The following is a 15,365-nucleotide window of genomic DNA, read 5'->3' as shown; positions in this document are numbered from 1 at the left end:
TCCCCCTCCCCCTCCCCTCCCCCTCTCCCCACAGTCTCTCTCTCCCTCTCTTTCCACGGTCTCCCTCTGATGCCCAGCCGAAGCTGCACTGTGCTGCTGCCATCTCGGCTTACTGCAACCTACCTGCCTGATTCTCCTGCCTCAGCCTGCCGAGTGCCTGCGATTGCAGGCGCACGCCGCCACGCCTGACTGGTTTTCGTATTTTTTTGGTGGAGACGGGGTTTCGCCGTGTTGGCCGTGCTGGTCTCCAGCTCCTAACCGCGAGTGATCTGCCAGCCTCGGCCTCCCAAGGTGCCGGGATTGCAGACGGAGTCTCGTTCACTCAGTGCTCAATGTTGCCCAGGCTGGAGTGCAGTGGCGTGGTCTCGGCTAGCTACAACCTCCACCTCCCAGCCGCCTGACTTGGCCTCCCAAAGTGCCGAGATTGCAGCCTCTGCCCGGCTGCCACCCCGTCTGGGAAGTGAGGAGCGTCTCTGCCTGGCCTCCCATCGTCTGGGATGTGAGGAGCCCCTCTGCCCGGCTGCCCAGTCTGGGAAGTGAGGAGAGCCTCTTCCTGGCCTCCATCCCATCTAGGAAGTGAGGAGCATCTCTGCCCGGCTGCCCATCGTCTGAGATGTGGGGAGCGCCTCTGCCCCGCCGCCACGTCTGGGATGTGAGGAGCACCTCTGCCCGGCCGCGACCCCGTCTGGGAGGTGAGGAGCGTCTCTGCCCAGCCGCCCCGTCTGAGAAGTGAGGAGCCCCTCCGCCCGGCAGCCGCCCCGTCTGGGAAGTGAGGAGCGCCTCTGCCCGGCAGCCACCCCATCTGGGAGGGAGATGGGGGGCGACTCTGCCCTGCCACCGCCCCGTCCGGGAGGTGGGGGGTGCCTCTGCCCGTCTGCCCCTTCTGGGAAGTGAGGAGCCCCTCTGCCCAGCCGCCACCCCGTCTGTGAGCTATACCCAACAGCTCGTTGAGAACGGGCCATGATGACGATGGCGGTTTTGTGGAATAGAAAAGGGGGAAATGTGGGGAAAAGATAGAGAAATCAGATTGTTGCTGTGTCTGTGTAGAAAGAAGTAGACATGGGAAACTCCATTTTGTTCTGTACTAAGAAAAATTCTTCTGCCTTGGGATGCTGTTGATCTATGTATGACCTTACCCCCAACCCTGTGCTCTCTGAAACATGTGCTGTGTCCACTCAGGGTTAAATGGATTAAGGGCAGTGGAAGATGTGCTTTGTTAAACAGATGCTTGAAGGCAGCATGCTCGTTAAGAGTCATCGCCACTCCCTAATCTCAAGTACCCAGGGACACAAACACTGCGGAAGGCCGCAGGGTCCTCTGCCTAGGAAAACCAGAGACCTTTGTTCACTTGTTTATCTGCTGACCCTCCCTCCACCATTGTCCTATGACCCTGCCAAATCCCCCTCTGTGAGAAACACCCAAGAATGATCAATTAAAAAAAAATAAAAATAAAAGAATAATTGAGGTCAAAAGTACAAAACGAGGTGGTGAAATAAATTCAAATATATCAGCTATTTTTTTTTGGAGGGTGGGTGGACAGAGTCTCTGTCACCCAGGCTGGAGTGCAGTGGTAGCATCTTGGCTCACTGCAATCTCCACCTTCCCGGTTCAAGCGATTCTCCCACCTCAGCCTCCTGGGGACTACAGGTGCATGCCGCCACACCCACCTAATTTTTAGTAGAGATGCGGTTTCACTATGTTGGCCAGGCTGGTCTTGAACTCCTGACCTCAAGTGATCCACCTGCCTCAGCCTCCCAAAGTGCTGGGATTACAGGTGTAAGCCACCATGACCCGGCCTATAACAGTAATTATAATAATGCAACTGAACAAAACCTTCCAGTTAAAAGATAAAGTGAATTTTTAAGATCAGTTTTATTCTGTTTAGAAGAATGACATTAAAATGTAAAGAAACAGAAAGACTAAATGGAAAAGGGAATGCCAGGAATATTCTAACAAAAAGAAAGTTGGCATATAGCTATACAATATCAGACAAAATAAAGTTTAAGAAATAATGCATCATTAGGGATGAAGATGGTCATCATATAATAAAAGATTAAACTACTGATGAATATATAACAGATAAAATGGCATTAAAATATGAAAGCAAGAATTAGGCCTACAAGGGAAAATGAACAAATCCGTCGCCACAGTGAGAGAATTCCGCATACTTCAACCCTTACTAGATCAAACAGAAAAAAATTATTAAGCGTGTGTCTCTTTTTCTTATTTACTTTTATTAAGCATATGAATGCAATTAACAAGCTCAATTTAACAGATATATATATATAGAACTGCAATCAATAATTATTAGTTGTACATTCTTCTCAAACTCACATGGGATATTATGAAAACTGACTTTATATGAGGCTGATAAGTTTCTTTTATTTATTTATTTATTTTTTTTTGAGATGGAGACTTGCTCTGTCACCCAGGCTGGAGTATGATGGCACTATCTCAGCTCACTGCAACCTCCGCCTCCTGGGTGCAAGTGATTCTCCTGCCTCAGCCTCCTAAGTAGCTGGGATTACAGGTGCGTGTGCCACCACACCTGGCTAATATTTTTCATTTATTTATTTTTTATTTTTAGTAGAGATGGGTTCACCATGTTGGTCAGGCTGGTCTTGAACTCCTGATCTCAAGTGATCCACCCATCTCGGCCTCTCAAAGTGCTGGGATTACAGGCTTGAGCCACCGCACCTGGCTAAGGCCAGTAAGCTTCAACATATGTCATGGAATCAGTACTATATGAAGCACATTTTCTGAACATAAGGAATTTAACTCAGAAATCAATAACAAAAAATAACTTTTAAAAGCCTTCATATATTTGGAAATTTAAAAAAACAAAATTTATGGAATGCAGTGAATCCTGTTATAATGGGGAAATGTATAGCCAGTGGCTATTCTGATTGGTCAGTGCTATATCTGTTAACTCCTCCACAAAAAGAATTATCTTCTGGGTTTTGCTTTTGGCTTTCCCTAGACATCCCAAAAAGCCAGCCCCCATACCTTGGCTGGCCACAGGGAACTCTAGGTGGCCACTTCCAGAAAAACCACTCAGTGAATCCCAACGTGAAGGGCTAACTGAAGCCAGCCTATGGCAGGTGTTGGTTATAGGTCCCTGTCCCTATATGTCTCCCAAGACAGGGCAGCCTGAACACTGATCCACTTAGCGATTGCGCAGTGTCAATCTGGCCCCACACAGCTGTGGCTAGCCACTACCAGTCAGTACTACCCTTTGGTTCTTCTTGCCTGTGGGCACTGCAGCCTCTGTGGGACCTTAGTACTAAGAGTCAGAGAATATCAGGGAGAACAGGTGGGCAGTAACAGGTTACATTGGAGGCATAAGCTAGATGCTGTGGCCTCCACTGGCACAGCTGGTCCTCTTGTTACAGGATGGAGGCTGTGGGGCAGATGAGAGCATAAGGGAGGTTTGGAGCTAAAGGGTGGCTGAGGTGCAGATGTTCTTTCTTCCCATCCCTGTTGAATTTCACCTCCATTTTAGGGAATGAGACTTAAAATCTCAAACATCATCCCACTACAGGCATTAACAATGGACCCTCCTGGCAATGTTTATACATTTGTAATATATGTTTATATATTAACCCATTGAAGAATTAAAATTATCATCATTATCCTCTTTTACAGGAGGAAATGGAGACAAAGAGAGCCAAGATTCAAACACAGGAAGCACAACAGAGCCCATGCACTTAATCTTCACACTGTGTTGCCTCATCCAGCCTGAATGGTTAGGGTCAATCTAATTATATATGTCATTCCAATAAATGACTTTTGTATAATAAAAGATAACGGATACATAAAACCCTCAGACAGTATTTTAAAGGCTGGAAAATTTGTGAATACAATTGCTGTTAGTTCAACCGGTGACAAAGAACTCAGTATCATAAACAGCATGTTAGGAAAAAGTTTCAACTTATCGAGACTACAAGTCATCTAATGACTATCAGTTTATTAGGAAATTATCAAAAGAGTTTGATTCCCAGCCAAACTGAATCCCTGCTTCTCTCCCATGTAACTCAGTTCCAAATCAAATGCACAGTCCAGTACATCTGAGCTTTTTGCCAGCAGAGAGGGGGCCCGAATGAGTTGCTTACTATGAGGCCACTTGGGGGGGGGGGTTTATGGACTGGAAACGGGAAGGAATGTGCTTAGTTTGCCGGCTGTTTTGGAGAATGCGTGATTTAGGTTGGCCTGGGACCTTGGCCTGGGACTAATTAGAAAGCTTGGCCCGGGACCTTAGCCTAGGACCTCGGCCGGGAATAATTAGGGGCTTAAGTGATGATTTGTAGAGGCTAGCGAATGAACCTCGCAAGTGAAGACACAAGAGCCCCTTTCTGAAGCTAAGACTCATCCCAGGATTGAAATGATCCCAAAGATTCCTCAAGAGTTGGAAGTTTACAAAGGAAGGAAGGGAGGAAAGAACCATCAGAATTTAATCCCTTCAAAAAAAGCCTGGGTTTAGAAAGAGGCCAGGGGAAAGACAGGAAGCGAGTACGGAAAGTGAGGTATTGCTGCAGTTTCGTTGAGGCGTAAAACGAATACACAGCGCGCTGGAGGCTCCGGCTCAGAAAAGTTTTTCGTAGAAGGAAAGACAAAAACGTTTCGTTACCCGGGAATCGAACCCGCGTTAACTGCTTGAAAGGCAGCTGTGCTCACCACTACACCACCAACGCGTCCCCGGTTTGGAATTTTAGAAATCTATATATAAGATAAGCAAAGCGTATGACTTTCCCGACCGTTCTAGCAGTGTCTTTTGTTTATGATCCTGAGGTTAAACATGCTAAGCCCTCCATTGGTGAGAACCGATTCTTATGAATCGGCCCCGCCCCACAAACGGCGGGGGGCGGTGAACGCAGAAGCCACTTGCTCTGGAAGCCGGAGGGCGGAGCCGGCTCACAGCCGAGAGAGAAAGCCGCAGTTGAGCACCGCCGGGGGATTTTCCTCCGCCGTCTTCTCTTCCCCCCCGCACTCCTCATGTCCCGTAGCTCCCAGCTCCGCAGCTGTTCGAGACTCCGCACTGGATCCGCCGGGTGTCGGATTCAGCAACAGTGATTGGTGCGGAGGATCCGAGGGAGACGGGCCGACACAGGGTCTACCTTGACATGGCTCGACCCCTCTACAGAAGCAGAGGGGCGCTCGAAGAGTCGCCAGGGAAAATGGAGCCTTAAGGTTTAGTTTGGGTAGTGAGGAAAGAGGAAAGAGCTGTCGGAGGCTGTTTCATTTTTCCCGCTTTGCGACAAGGTCTAGAGAGAGTTACAATTTTATTTGAAACAGTAAATAGACACATTAATGTGACCTGATAGCGTGCACCATCAGTATATGATAAAATTAGGAGAAATTAGGAAGTTTAGCAAAACGTGTGTCAGGATGGCCGAGCAGTCTTAAGGCGCTGCGTTCAAATCGCACCCTCCGCTGGAGGCGTGGGTTCGAATCCCACTTTTGACAACGTATGTTTTCCATCCTTACTTTTCCTCCTGATTTGAACCAACCAGCAATTATGTTTGAATTCTTAGAGAAAGACTTTTCGATCGGTCAACACTGCGTTTTATCCTGGGTATCTACATTTACGAAAATTATTTGTGCTTCTCTGCACATATAGAACTAAATCTATTTTTCCTGTATTGTAGGCTGGAGTCTGGTCTATGAAAACAGGGAGCAGTTGAGACTAAGTTTAACTTTGGACTCCAACTTCCCAGTGTCAATTTATCCATTCTTTTATTCAACAACAATGTGTTGAGCCCTTTCTGTGCGTCAAGCACACTAAGGCAGGCAGATACCATCTCCTTTGACTAAACAAGAGAACGCCCTCAACACAGGATCCTTTAATTTGCTCTACAGTCTTAGCTGGGTTTTTTTTTTAACGCTAACGCAGTAGTGTCAAACTTTGGTAAGGATCAGATTCTCCACCGCCTTGCCCCGCTCCCCAGCTTTTTTTTTTTTTTTTTTGAGACAGGTTCTCACTCTGTACCCCAGGCTGGAGTACTGTGGCGCGATCTTGGCTCACTGCAGCCTCCGTCTTCCCGGTCCACGCGGTTCTCGTGCCTCAGCCTCCCAAGTACCCGGGGTTCGCGCCTGTAGTCCCAGCTACTCCGGGAGCCTGAGGCGAATCTCTTGAGCCCAGGGGGCAGAGGTTGCAGTGAGCCGAGATCGTGCCACTGCACTCCAGGCTGGGGTACAGAGTGAGACCCTGTGTCCAAAAAAAAAAAAAAAAGTCATTAATGTTATACCAATGCCAATTTCTTAGGTTTGATAAATATAACATGGTTATGTAAGGTTTTAACATTAGGGGAAGTAGAAAGGATATAGAGTAATAACTTTATGTAGTATCTTTGCAACTTGTCTGTTCATCTAAAATTATTGCAAAATCAAAAATTCTTTTAAAAAACCAACAACTTGAAAGTGGTTGCCTGTGAGGAGTAGGACCTGGGAAGGGGGCAAGAAACTGCTTGTACCAAGAATTGATTTTTTTAATAATGGGCATGTGTTCTGATTTAATTTGTTCAAACTTTTTCCCCCCCTTTGGAACTGGGTGACATAGTTGTGATTACAATAATCAAACTAAGACTACATACAATATAAGGATTTTTAGATACCTAGTATACAAGAAACAGTCCCCAAAGAAACTAAACCAAAATGATCAACAGACATTTAAAAGTAAATAAAGTTTGTTTATATTTCTCTGTAGAAAAATAGATTGCACCCAAATGGGAGGATCTGAGATGTCACAACTAAACACGATAAAAATCTTTCTTCTTATATTCCGTGTGTGTTGGGTTTTTTAAAAGGAGAAAAGGCATGCTATCAAAATACTAAGAAACTATATAAAAGTGAGTACCATCAATCCTCTTGAGAAGTTCAAACAGGTTGAGGGGGGTCAATGTTGAGAATTGAGATGAGATTCAGGAAAGGAAGAATGTAATGCAGGATGTACGTGTCACTCCATCTCTCTCTCTTTTTTTTTTTTTTTCAGGTTCCTTCCATGTGAAGCCAGGCTGCGTAAGACTTGGGCCAGGGCCAGGAAAAAAGGGCAGTTAAAAATGTGAAATGACAGCCAGGGACAAGTGCGTTGTTAGTGTAACCTTCTCTCCGTCTTTAAAAAATCAACCTAAGAAATATAATGTATAATGTAGCATTGTTCTAGCCAAGCTCTCCCATAATTTCTGAGATGAAAATAAATCTCCCAATGTGCACAGGGCAAATATACTCTGGATTGGATTGACTGGGAACTAACACAAGGTTATCCTTTTGATTATTTTGTTTACACCAACAAAGCAAAGGCAAATATCCTTGCTTTTATATTGTCATTGACTCAACTGGCAGTAAAGTTGTGCCTAAGGATATTTTGCAGATTCCGTCACTTGCTATAAAAAACACACAACTAGCTAGGCGTGGTGGCTCACACCTGTAATCCTAGCACTTTGGGAGGCTGAGGTGGGCAGATCACCTGAGGTCACGAGTCTGAGACCAGCCTGACCAACATGGTGAAACCCCATGTCTACTAAAAATGCAAAACTTAGCTGGGTGTGATGGCAGGCACCTGTAATCCCAGCTACTCGGGAGGCTGAGGCAGGAGAATTGGTTGAGCCCGGGAGGCAGAGGTTGCAGTGAGTTGAGATCGCACCTTTGCACTCCAGCTTAGGCGACAGAGCAAGACTCTGTCTCTGCAAGTATACAATAAAATGCACACTTTTTCTCACGGGGCTCAGCATCCAGCTGTGTTTCAAAGGAATAATATGACCAATTTCAAAACATCTAGGGGAAGGTCTGGTAATAAGTGGAGTTATGGCCTATTTGTAAGGTGGCATGCTGAGGCTCTAGACTCAGGCAGGACAGGGTTCTTCATTCCAGCCTTCCTGTCCCCACTTTATAGCTTTGTGTCTTTGAATAAATTGTTTAACCTCTTTGAACCTCATAATGCTCATCTTCAAAAAGAAGATAGTATTCCATAATGCTACTGTGAAGATTAAGTTAGATTGTGTATGTCAAGTACCTAGTACATAGTTATCACCCAACTAACAATTAATAGTAATTGCTAATATTTGTTGATAGTATATTATACGCCTGACATTCTTCTTTGCCTCTTACATATATTAATTAATTGAACCCTCACAACAGTCTGGAGGTTGGTACTGTTATCATCATCATCATCCCCACTGCAGGGAAGGAGAAACTGAAGCTTGGAGAGTTTAATTTGCACAGTATATAAAGTGGCAGGGCTGAAAATCTATAGAGTCTTGTTCCAACATCCTCATTATGCCATGGGCAGAAACCACATGGGATCATACTATTTCTCTGACATAGATAAAGTCAATAGTAACTTTAATCGTACCACCAGATCTACTTCCTCTGACATATACCATCCTCCAGAGTCCAGGACTCAGAGTCTTTTCTCTAAAAGAACAATGGATAAAGTGACATGATTACAAACAGCTAATAAGCATGTAAACTATTTGTTAGTGTTATTAAAACAGCTAGACTGACAAACTCAACCAGGTTCCTATGACAAAAATACAGAATTTGAATCATAGGATCACACATGGAAACACTGCCAGTACTTAAGTTTCTCTTCATTCTCTGCTTTTCCAATTCCACATCTCTCCCTCTCTCTTCCTGCATTATATCTCAATCCTCTCCTCTTTACCAGCCCTAACTCTTCAGTACTGTTCCAATGTATTGGCCTCAAACTCTTTTCCAAACCCTGCCTTCCCCTATAGGAATCATGCACACGGTCTCAGGAATATTCTTCACATTCCTCCTTCAGCACCCACCCCAACATTTTCTGCTTCTGAAAGCCTTTATGTACTTTTGTACTTTGATTGGTTGGAATGAAAAGCAAGAAGGAGTTTTAAAAGTTTATTTAGGTCTATAACTATATTTTACATAACAAAATTCATACATACAAGTAACAAAATACACAAAATATAGGTGAAAGCAATGTTAAAGTGCCACACAAGTTTTAATAAATTAATGACTTTTTATTTGAAGCAGAAGAGGATGAACCGCCCTCCCCCCAAAAAGTCAAAAGACTTCAGTTATCCTGGAAAGAAAGTTCTAGCTTTGGAGGGAAGACCCCCCCAAGCCCTTCATCTCTGAAGGGCAGGATCATAGAAGACAGTCTAGAAGGCCCATAGCATAGCCCTGACAGTCACAGCTGACTTATCACGAAGGGCCATTCAATCAACCTCCTCAATGATGGGGCCGGTGCTGGGGTCCCCCTGGTGGGCTTGAGCGCTACAACTGCTGCCCCCAGGGACACCAGGCCCCCCATAGAGCCTGGAGAAGATGGGGCGACAGATTTGCTCCAGCTCCCTCTTCTGATGCTCATACTCCTCCTTCTCTGCCAGCTGGTTGTGCTCCAGCCAGGCAAGGACTTCCTGACACTTGTCTTGCACTTTGCGCCTGTCCTCTTCGGGAATCTTGTCCCTAAGGCTTTCCTCTTGCAAAGAACCTTTCACATGGAAGACATGGGCCTCCAGCGAGTTTTTGGCAGCCACTCTGTCCCTCTGGGCCTCATCCTCAGCCCCGTACTGCTCGGCTTCATGAACCATCCTCTCCACCTCCTCCTTGCTCAGCCGGCCCTTGTCATTGGTGATCTTGTTAGCCTTACCTGTGCTCCTGTCAGTGGCTGTCACGCTCAGGATGCCATTAGCATCAATGTCAAACGTCACCTCTATCTGGGGGACTCCATGTGGGGCAGGAGGGATGCCAATGAGTTCAAAACGCCCCAGCAGGTTGTTGTCCTTGGTCATGGCCCTCTCAACCTCATACACCTGGATGAAGACCCCAGGCTGGTTGTCCGAGTAGGTGGTGAAAGTCTGGGTCTGCTTGGTGGGGATAGTGGCGTTCCTCTGGATCAGCGTGGTCATCACCCCACCTGCTGTCTCCAGCCCCAGAGACAGGGGAGCCACATCCAGCAGCAGGAGATCCTGCACTTTCTCACATTTGTCCCCCATCAACACGGCCGCCTGCACAGCAGCCCCATAGGCCACAGCCTCATCAGGGTTGATGCTCTTGTTCAGCTCCTTGCCGTTGAAGAAGTCCTGCAGCAACTTCTGCACCTTGGGGATGCGAGTGGAGCCCTCCCCCCAGGACGAAGTCATGAATCTGGGCCTTGTCCAGCTTGGCATCCCGCAGGGCCTTCTCCACCGGCTCCAGGGTGCTGCGGAAGAGGTCTGAGCACAGTTCCTCAAAGCGGGCACGAGTGATGGACTTGTAGAAGTCCACGCCCTCGAACAGGGAGTCTATCTCCAGGGTGGCCTGGGTGCTGGAGGACGGGGTGCGCTTGGCGCGCTCACAGGCTGTGCGCAGCCTGCGCAGGGCACGCTTGTTCCCGCTCAGGTCCTTCCCATGCTTCCGCCGGAATTCTTCCATGAAGTGGTTCACGAGCCGGTTGTCGAAGTCCTCTCCTCCCAGGTGGGTATCTCCAGCAGTGGCTTTCACCTCAAAGACACCGGCGTCAATGGAGAGAACCGACACATCGAAGGTGCCCCCACCCAGGTCAAAAATGAGCACGTTGCGCTTTCCCGCGCCCCGCCGGTCCAGCCCATAGGCGATGGCTGCTGCCGTGGCCTCATTGATGATCGGCAGCACCTTGAGCCCCGCGATGGCCCCCGCGTCCTTGGTGGCCTGGCGCTGCGAGTTACTGAAATAGGTGGGCACGGTGATCACTGCGTGCTTCACGGGCTGGCCCAGGTACGCCTCGGCCGTCTCCTTCATCTTGCTCAGCACCATGGACGAGATCTCCTCGGGGTAGAACGTCTTGTCCTCCCCGCGGTAGCATACGCGCACCTTGGGCTTGCCGCCCTCGCTCACCACCTGGAAGGGCCAGTGCTTCATGTCCGACTGCACCGTGGTGTCCGCGAACTTGCGCCCGATCAGCCGCTTGGCATCGAACACGGTGTTGTGGGGGTTCAGGGCCGCCTGGCTCTTGGCCGCGTCCCCGACCAGCCGCTCGGTGTCGGTGAAGGCCACGTAGCTGGGCGTGGTGCGGTTGCCCTGGTCGTTGGCCAGGATCTCCACGCGGCCCTGCTGAAACACGCCCACGCACGAGTAGGTGGTGCCCAGGTCGATGCCCACCGCGAGCTCCCGTGGGGCCTGCATGGCTGAAGCTTCTTGTCGGATGCTGGAGGCCACGGAGGCTGCTGCCGCTCCGCCGTCGAGGGGCGCTCAGCAGTGAGGCTCTCCCTGCGGTTTCTCTGCCGCCAGCCCGGCTCGGATCTGCTCAGCTCCGCTTCCACGGGCTTTTCATCCTTTTGCACCTCCCCGACCCCGCCGCCGCGAACCTTCCCGCACCTTCCCGCCCAGTCGAGAGCCTCCCGCCCGCCCGCCCGGGCTGAGTCAGCCGGGCGGCGCAGCGCGGCGCTGACCCCGGGAGAAGGTTCGGGCGGATCGGGCCGTGAGCCGAGAGGCTGGGCGGCTATGCCAGGCCAGCCCGCCTCTGACTCAGGGCTGCTGAAAGAAACGCGGGGAAGGTTCTAGCTCCTCCCGGCTGGCTCTGAGGACGCGCGGTTGTGGCAGAGGCTGCAAAAGCAGCAACTTTAGAGGCAAGGTCTCCCCGGGGCTGTGGGAGGTCGGATCCCTGAGGCGAGCACGGGCCTGCGGGCTGCCTTGGAGGGCCGCTGAGAGCCCAGCGGCTCAGGAAGGCCGAAGATATGTTACCATGCGAATACAGATATATAAGATATATATACATATATCTTAAAACAGTTTTATCTTGAACAAAATATTTTCCAAACCACGATTTAAGACAGTGCCTGTTTCCTTAAGGAATGGCCAGAGATAATCAGCTTTAAGAGATGACACTGCAGCTCTTTCATCGACATTAGCATTGGTGGTGTAGTGGTAGACTTCTCGCCCGCAACGCGGGAGGCCCGCGTCCGATTACCGGCCAATGCACGCTTGGTTTTTTCCGATCCATTTCAATTCTTTTTCTCATCTAGGATTAATCACTCTTGAATAAATTAAACCAGGTGGCCGAAGACTTTAGGTTCCTCCAGTTTTGTTCTCTTTTACCAGTCACTTTCCACAAAGGAGATGTGACATTGCACTGTGGCCCTGGGACTCGGGAGAGACCTCGCCACTCAACCCAAGAGAGAACGCAACACCTGGGAAAGGAGGACGCAGTGTACGGTCAGGATGTCCCTCATGTTCTCCCCACTGTTTGTATCCCCGAGGAGCCTCGTCTCCAGAGGCCCGGTGGAGAGGCACAGTGTGCGTTTTTCTCTATGGCCTAAGTGGGTTCCCAGCCGGAGACCAGGACTCAGGTGGAGAGTAAACTACTGCAGGCTCCAGTCCAACCTACCTCCTAAAGGCTGGAGGACGAGATGGGTTCACTGGGCAGTAAAGTCACACTGGTTTCTATCAGGCTGTGACTTTGTGAATTGAGGCCATTTCCCACTTTCTTCAATCCAGAACATTCCATTCAGATCTTCTGGCGTTCGGATTTCCGCTGAAAGCCAAAACAAGGAGACATTTCTGAGACTTTTGAAGGTTGACAAAATCCCCACACAATTTTCCGTAACCTCCCCGTCAGGGAATCGACCCCCTCTCTCATGCATGACAGGCAGAGATACTTACCACTATAGTAACAAGGATGGCAACTGCAATAGCTGGCAGCTGGAGAGTATGTGGTACAGTCTGGTGTTATAATTTAGCAGTGTGTTATAAGGAGAAACTTAAAAGTTGGCTTCTATTTAACGTTACTTGCCTGATTCAAAGGAAACTTCCATTTGTAAAAAGAGAAACTAAAAACCCTTACTCCATAGGTGGCTATTTTCTCCTTTGACAGGTTAGAACCCACTAGGAAGTTCAAGGGACTTTTTAAGAGGGAGGCAGGAGTCCAGAAGTAGAGGTCAGTACTGTTCCTGGGCTGGGTTTCTTGGTTAATCCTCTCTCCGAGAGCACCAGTGACAGCTGGTAGAGATTGCTGCTTGAGAGATCAGCTGTACTGGTAAGGTGATCAGTTCAGGAAAAAAGGGAATGTTTAAAGAAATGTGCAATATATGACTTCCACAGTGGAAAATCAAACTGTCCTTGAAAAGAAGTAACCTATTTCATAATTCCAAAAGGGAAAGAAGCTGTCAGCTTTAAATTCACTCACTCTCAGGGTCTAAGCTGGTCACACCTGGATGCCAGAGTCAAGACGTTTGCCGACGGCCTGCAAGAGATGGGTCTTCACCTCAGCAGGGAAAAGTTGGCCCAGCCTGGGGTTCTGTGCCCCGGCGTGTTAAGGGACTGTCTTGTGTGGGCTCCTCCAACCTTCTCTTCCAGCCCCCAGCCACCTCAAAACCCCACTTACCCACTCATCTCCAAGAGTTACAGGCATAGCCCTAACGCAGCCTATGAATGTTACCACAGCATCACAGAGGCATGCTCCCAATGTCACTCACTTCCTTTTAATTGATCTCTTCAGAGTGGTTCAAACATAGCATAGGGGAGCTTATGCATGCAGTACAGTTTTGGTTTTGTTTGTTTGTTTTTTGTAAAAGAGCCACTGCAGGGTTATTGGGGGTTTTTTTGTTTGTTTCTTTTTATTTTATTTTTTTCTGGTTCCTGCTCTGTCCCTCAGGCTGGAGTACAGTGATGCAATCACAGCTCACTGCAGCCTTGAACTCGTGGCCTCAATCAATCCCACCTCTACCTTCCACAGCTTTGGGATTGCAGGCATGAGCCACCGCAGCTGGCCTAGTATAAATTTTATACATACACTTAAATATATCCACTTATGTTTAGTAGCTTAGTTAGAGTAGCTTTAAAAATAGAATCGACCTTAAAGTAATGACTTAAATAGACATTGTAAAGTGGTGCAAAGCTCACGACTCAATATTGAGTACAAAAAAAAAGCAAGTTGTATGTGTTAGCCCATTCTCACACTGCTAATAAAGACGTACCTGAGACGGGGCAATTTACAAAAGAAAGAGGTTTAATGGACTTACAGTTCCACGTGGCTGGGGAGGCCTCACAATCATGGCAAAAGGTGAAAGTCATGTCTCACATGGTGGCAAACAAGAGAAGAGAGAGCTTGTGCAGGGAAACTCCCCTTTTTAAAACCATCAGATCTCATGAGACTTATTCACTATCACAAGAACAGCATGGGAAAGACCTGCCCCATGATTCAGTTACCTTCCACTGGGTCCCTCCCATGTGTTGTGGGAATTCAAGATGATATTTGGGTGGGGACATAGCCAAACCATTTCACTATAGAACAAAAGTTATAGTATAATCCAAACTATATATATATAAAGGTCAGTGACATCCACTACCTGTTTGTCCTTGAACAAGTCATTTCACCTGTCTGGGCCACAGCTTCCTCCGTTTTAAAATGAAGAGATTGGACTACATTGTTTCTAAGGACTTTCCAGTTTAAAGTCTCTGATTTCAAACGTCAAAGAATTTACTCATTCCACACATATTTATTAAGCCCTTTACCATGCACCAGACACTGACCTGGGCTCTGAGTATGTGGTAGTGAACAAAACAGACAAAGACCTCTCCTGGAGCTCGCATTCTAATGAGAGGAGTGGGGAAGTCAGACACAAAACAAACAGTAAACATATATTAATAGTACATCAGTAGTAATAAGCACAATGGAGAAAAATGAAGAAGGAAAGGGACATTAAGAGTATGGGAGGGCGACGGGTTATACCGAATGATCAAGGAGACCTCACTGATAAGGTGACATGTGAGTAAAGACCTAAAGGACATAATGAGGCATAATGTGGGTCTATGAGAAAGAACATTCCAGAAACAGGAAATAACATAGGCTCTGGGCAGAAGTATAATTGGCACGTTCAAGGAAGAGCAAGAGTGACCAACAGCAAGCAAGAAAAAGCAGTAGGAGATGAGGTCAGAGAGAGTGAAGAGCAAGATCCTGTAGCATCTTGTAGAATATTGCAAAAGCTCTAGCCTTTACTCCAAGCACAAGGAGAAGATAGTATATGATTTGGGGAAAAGAAGTGACAAATATGACACATTTTTAAAAGATCACAATAGCTGTTGTGGTGAGAATAGACTATAGGATGGCAAGGGTGAGTGCAGGGAGGCCAGTCAGGAGGCTATTGCAGTAATCCAAGTGAGAAATGATGGTGGCTTGGACCAGGGTGGTAGGAGTAGAATACTGAGAAGCAGTCAGATTGTTGGGTGCATTTTAATGTAAAAGCAGGATTTAACAAGGCTTTACATATTTGAGGAGCCTCTGTCTAGGGTGATATGGTTTGGCTCTGTCTCCACCCAAAGTCTCATCTTGAGTTGTCATCCTCATAATCCCCATCTGTCAAAAGTGGGACCAGGTGGAGGTAACTGGGTCATGGCGACGGTTTCCCCATGCTGTTCTCATAATAGTGAGTGAG

The 15,365-nt window shown here is 47.7% G+C and overlaps 1 non-coding gene and 1 pseudogene across 2 annotated transcripts, besides 3 other annotated features; one reads left to right on the top strand and one right to left on the bottom strand.

The window, feature by feature from the left end:
• Positions 4,235 to 4,928: an enhancer, noted in NCBI's record as "NANOG-H3K27ac hESC enhancer chr1:161582271-161582964 (GRCh37/hg19 assembly coordinates)". NCBI's record gives its function as "activates a minimal SCP1, AML or CMV promoter by ChIP-STARR-seq in primed H9 embryonic stem cells {active_cell/tissue: H9 hESC(primed)}" and the evidence as "EXISTENCE:reporter gene assay evidence [ECO:0000049][PMID:30033119]".
• Positions 4,441 to 4,490: an enhancer, noted in NCBI's record as "active region_1993". NCBI's record gives its function as "activates an Ori minimal core promoter by ATAC-STARR-seq in GM12878 lymphoblastoid cells {active_cell/tissue: GM12878}" and the evidence as "EXISTENCE:reporter gene assay evidence [ECO:0000049][PMID:35858748]".
• Positions 4,929 to 5,623: an enhancer, noted in NCBI's record as "NANOG-H3K27ac hESC enhancer chr1:161581576-161582270 (GRCh37/hg19 assembly coordinates)". NCBI's record gives its function as "activates a minimal SCP1, AML or CMV promoter by ChIP-STARR-seq in naive H9 embryonic stem cells {active_cell/tissue: H9 hESC(naive)}" and the evidence as "EXISTENCE:reporter gene assay evidence [ECO:0000049][PMID:30033119]".
• TRL-CAA6-1 (tRNA-Leu (anticodon CAA) 6-1) lies at positions 5,380 to 5,463 on the top strand. Its single transcript has one exon. It is a non-coding gene; the product is annotated as a tRNA-Leu (tRNA).
• Positions 8,859 to 11,237, bottom strand: HSPA7 (heat shock protein family A (Hsp70) member 7 (pseudogene); annotated as a pseudogene). The gene has a single exon (NR_024151.2). The product of NR_024151.2 is annotated as a heat shock protein family A (Hsp70) member 7 (pseudogene) (transcript).

Source organism: Homo sapiens, chromosome 1 (assembly GCF_000001405.40).
Source record: "Homo sapiens chromosome 1, GRCh38.p14 Primary Assembly".
In the NCBI taxonomy this organism is placed as follows: domain Eukaryota; kingdom Metazoa; phylum Chordata; class Mammalia; order Primates; family Hominidae; genus Homo; species Homo sapiens.
This window is presented reverse-complemented; position numbering and strand designations above follow the sequence as displayed.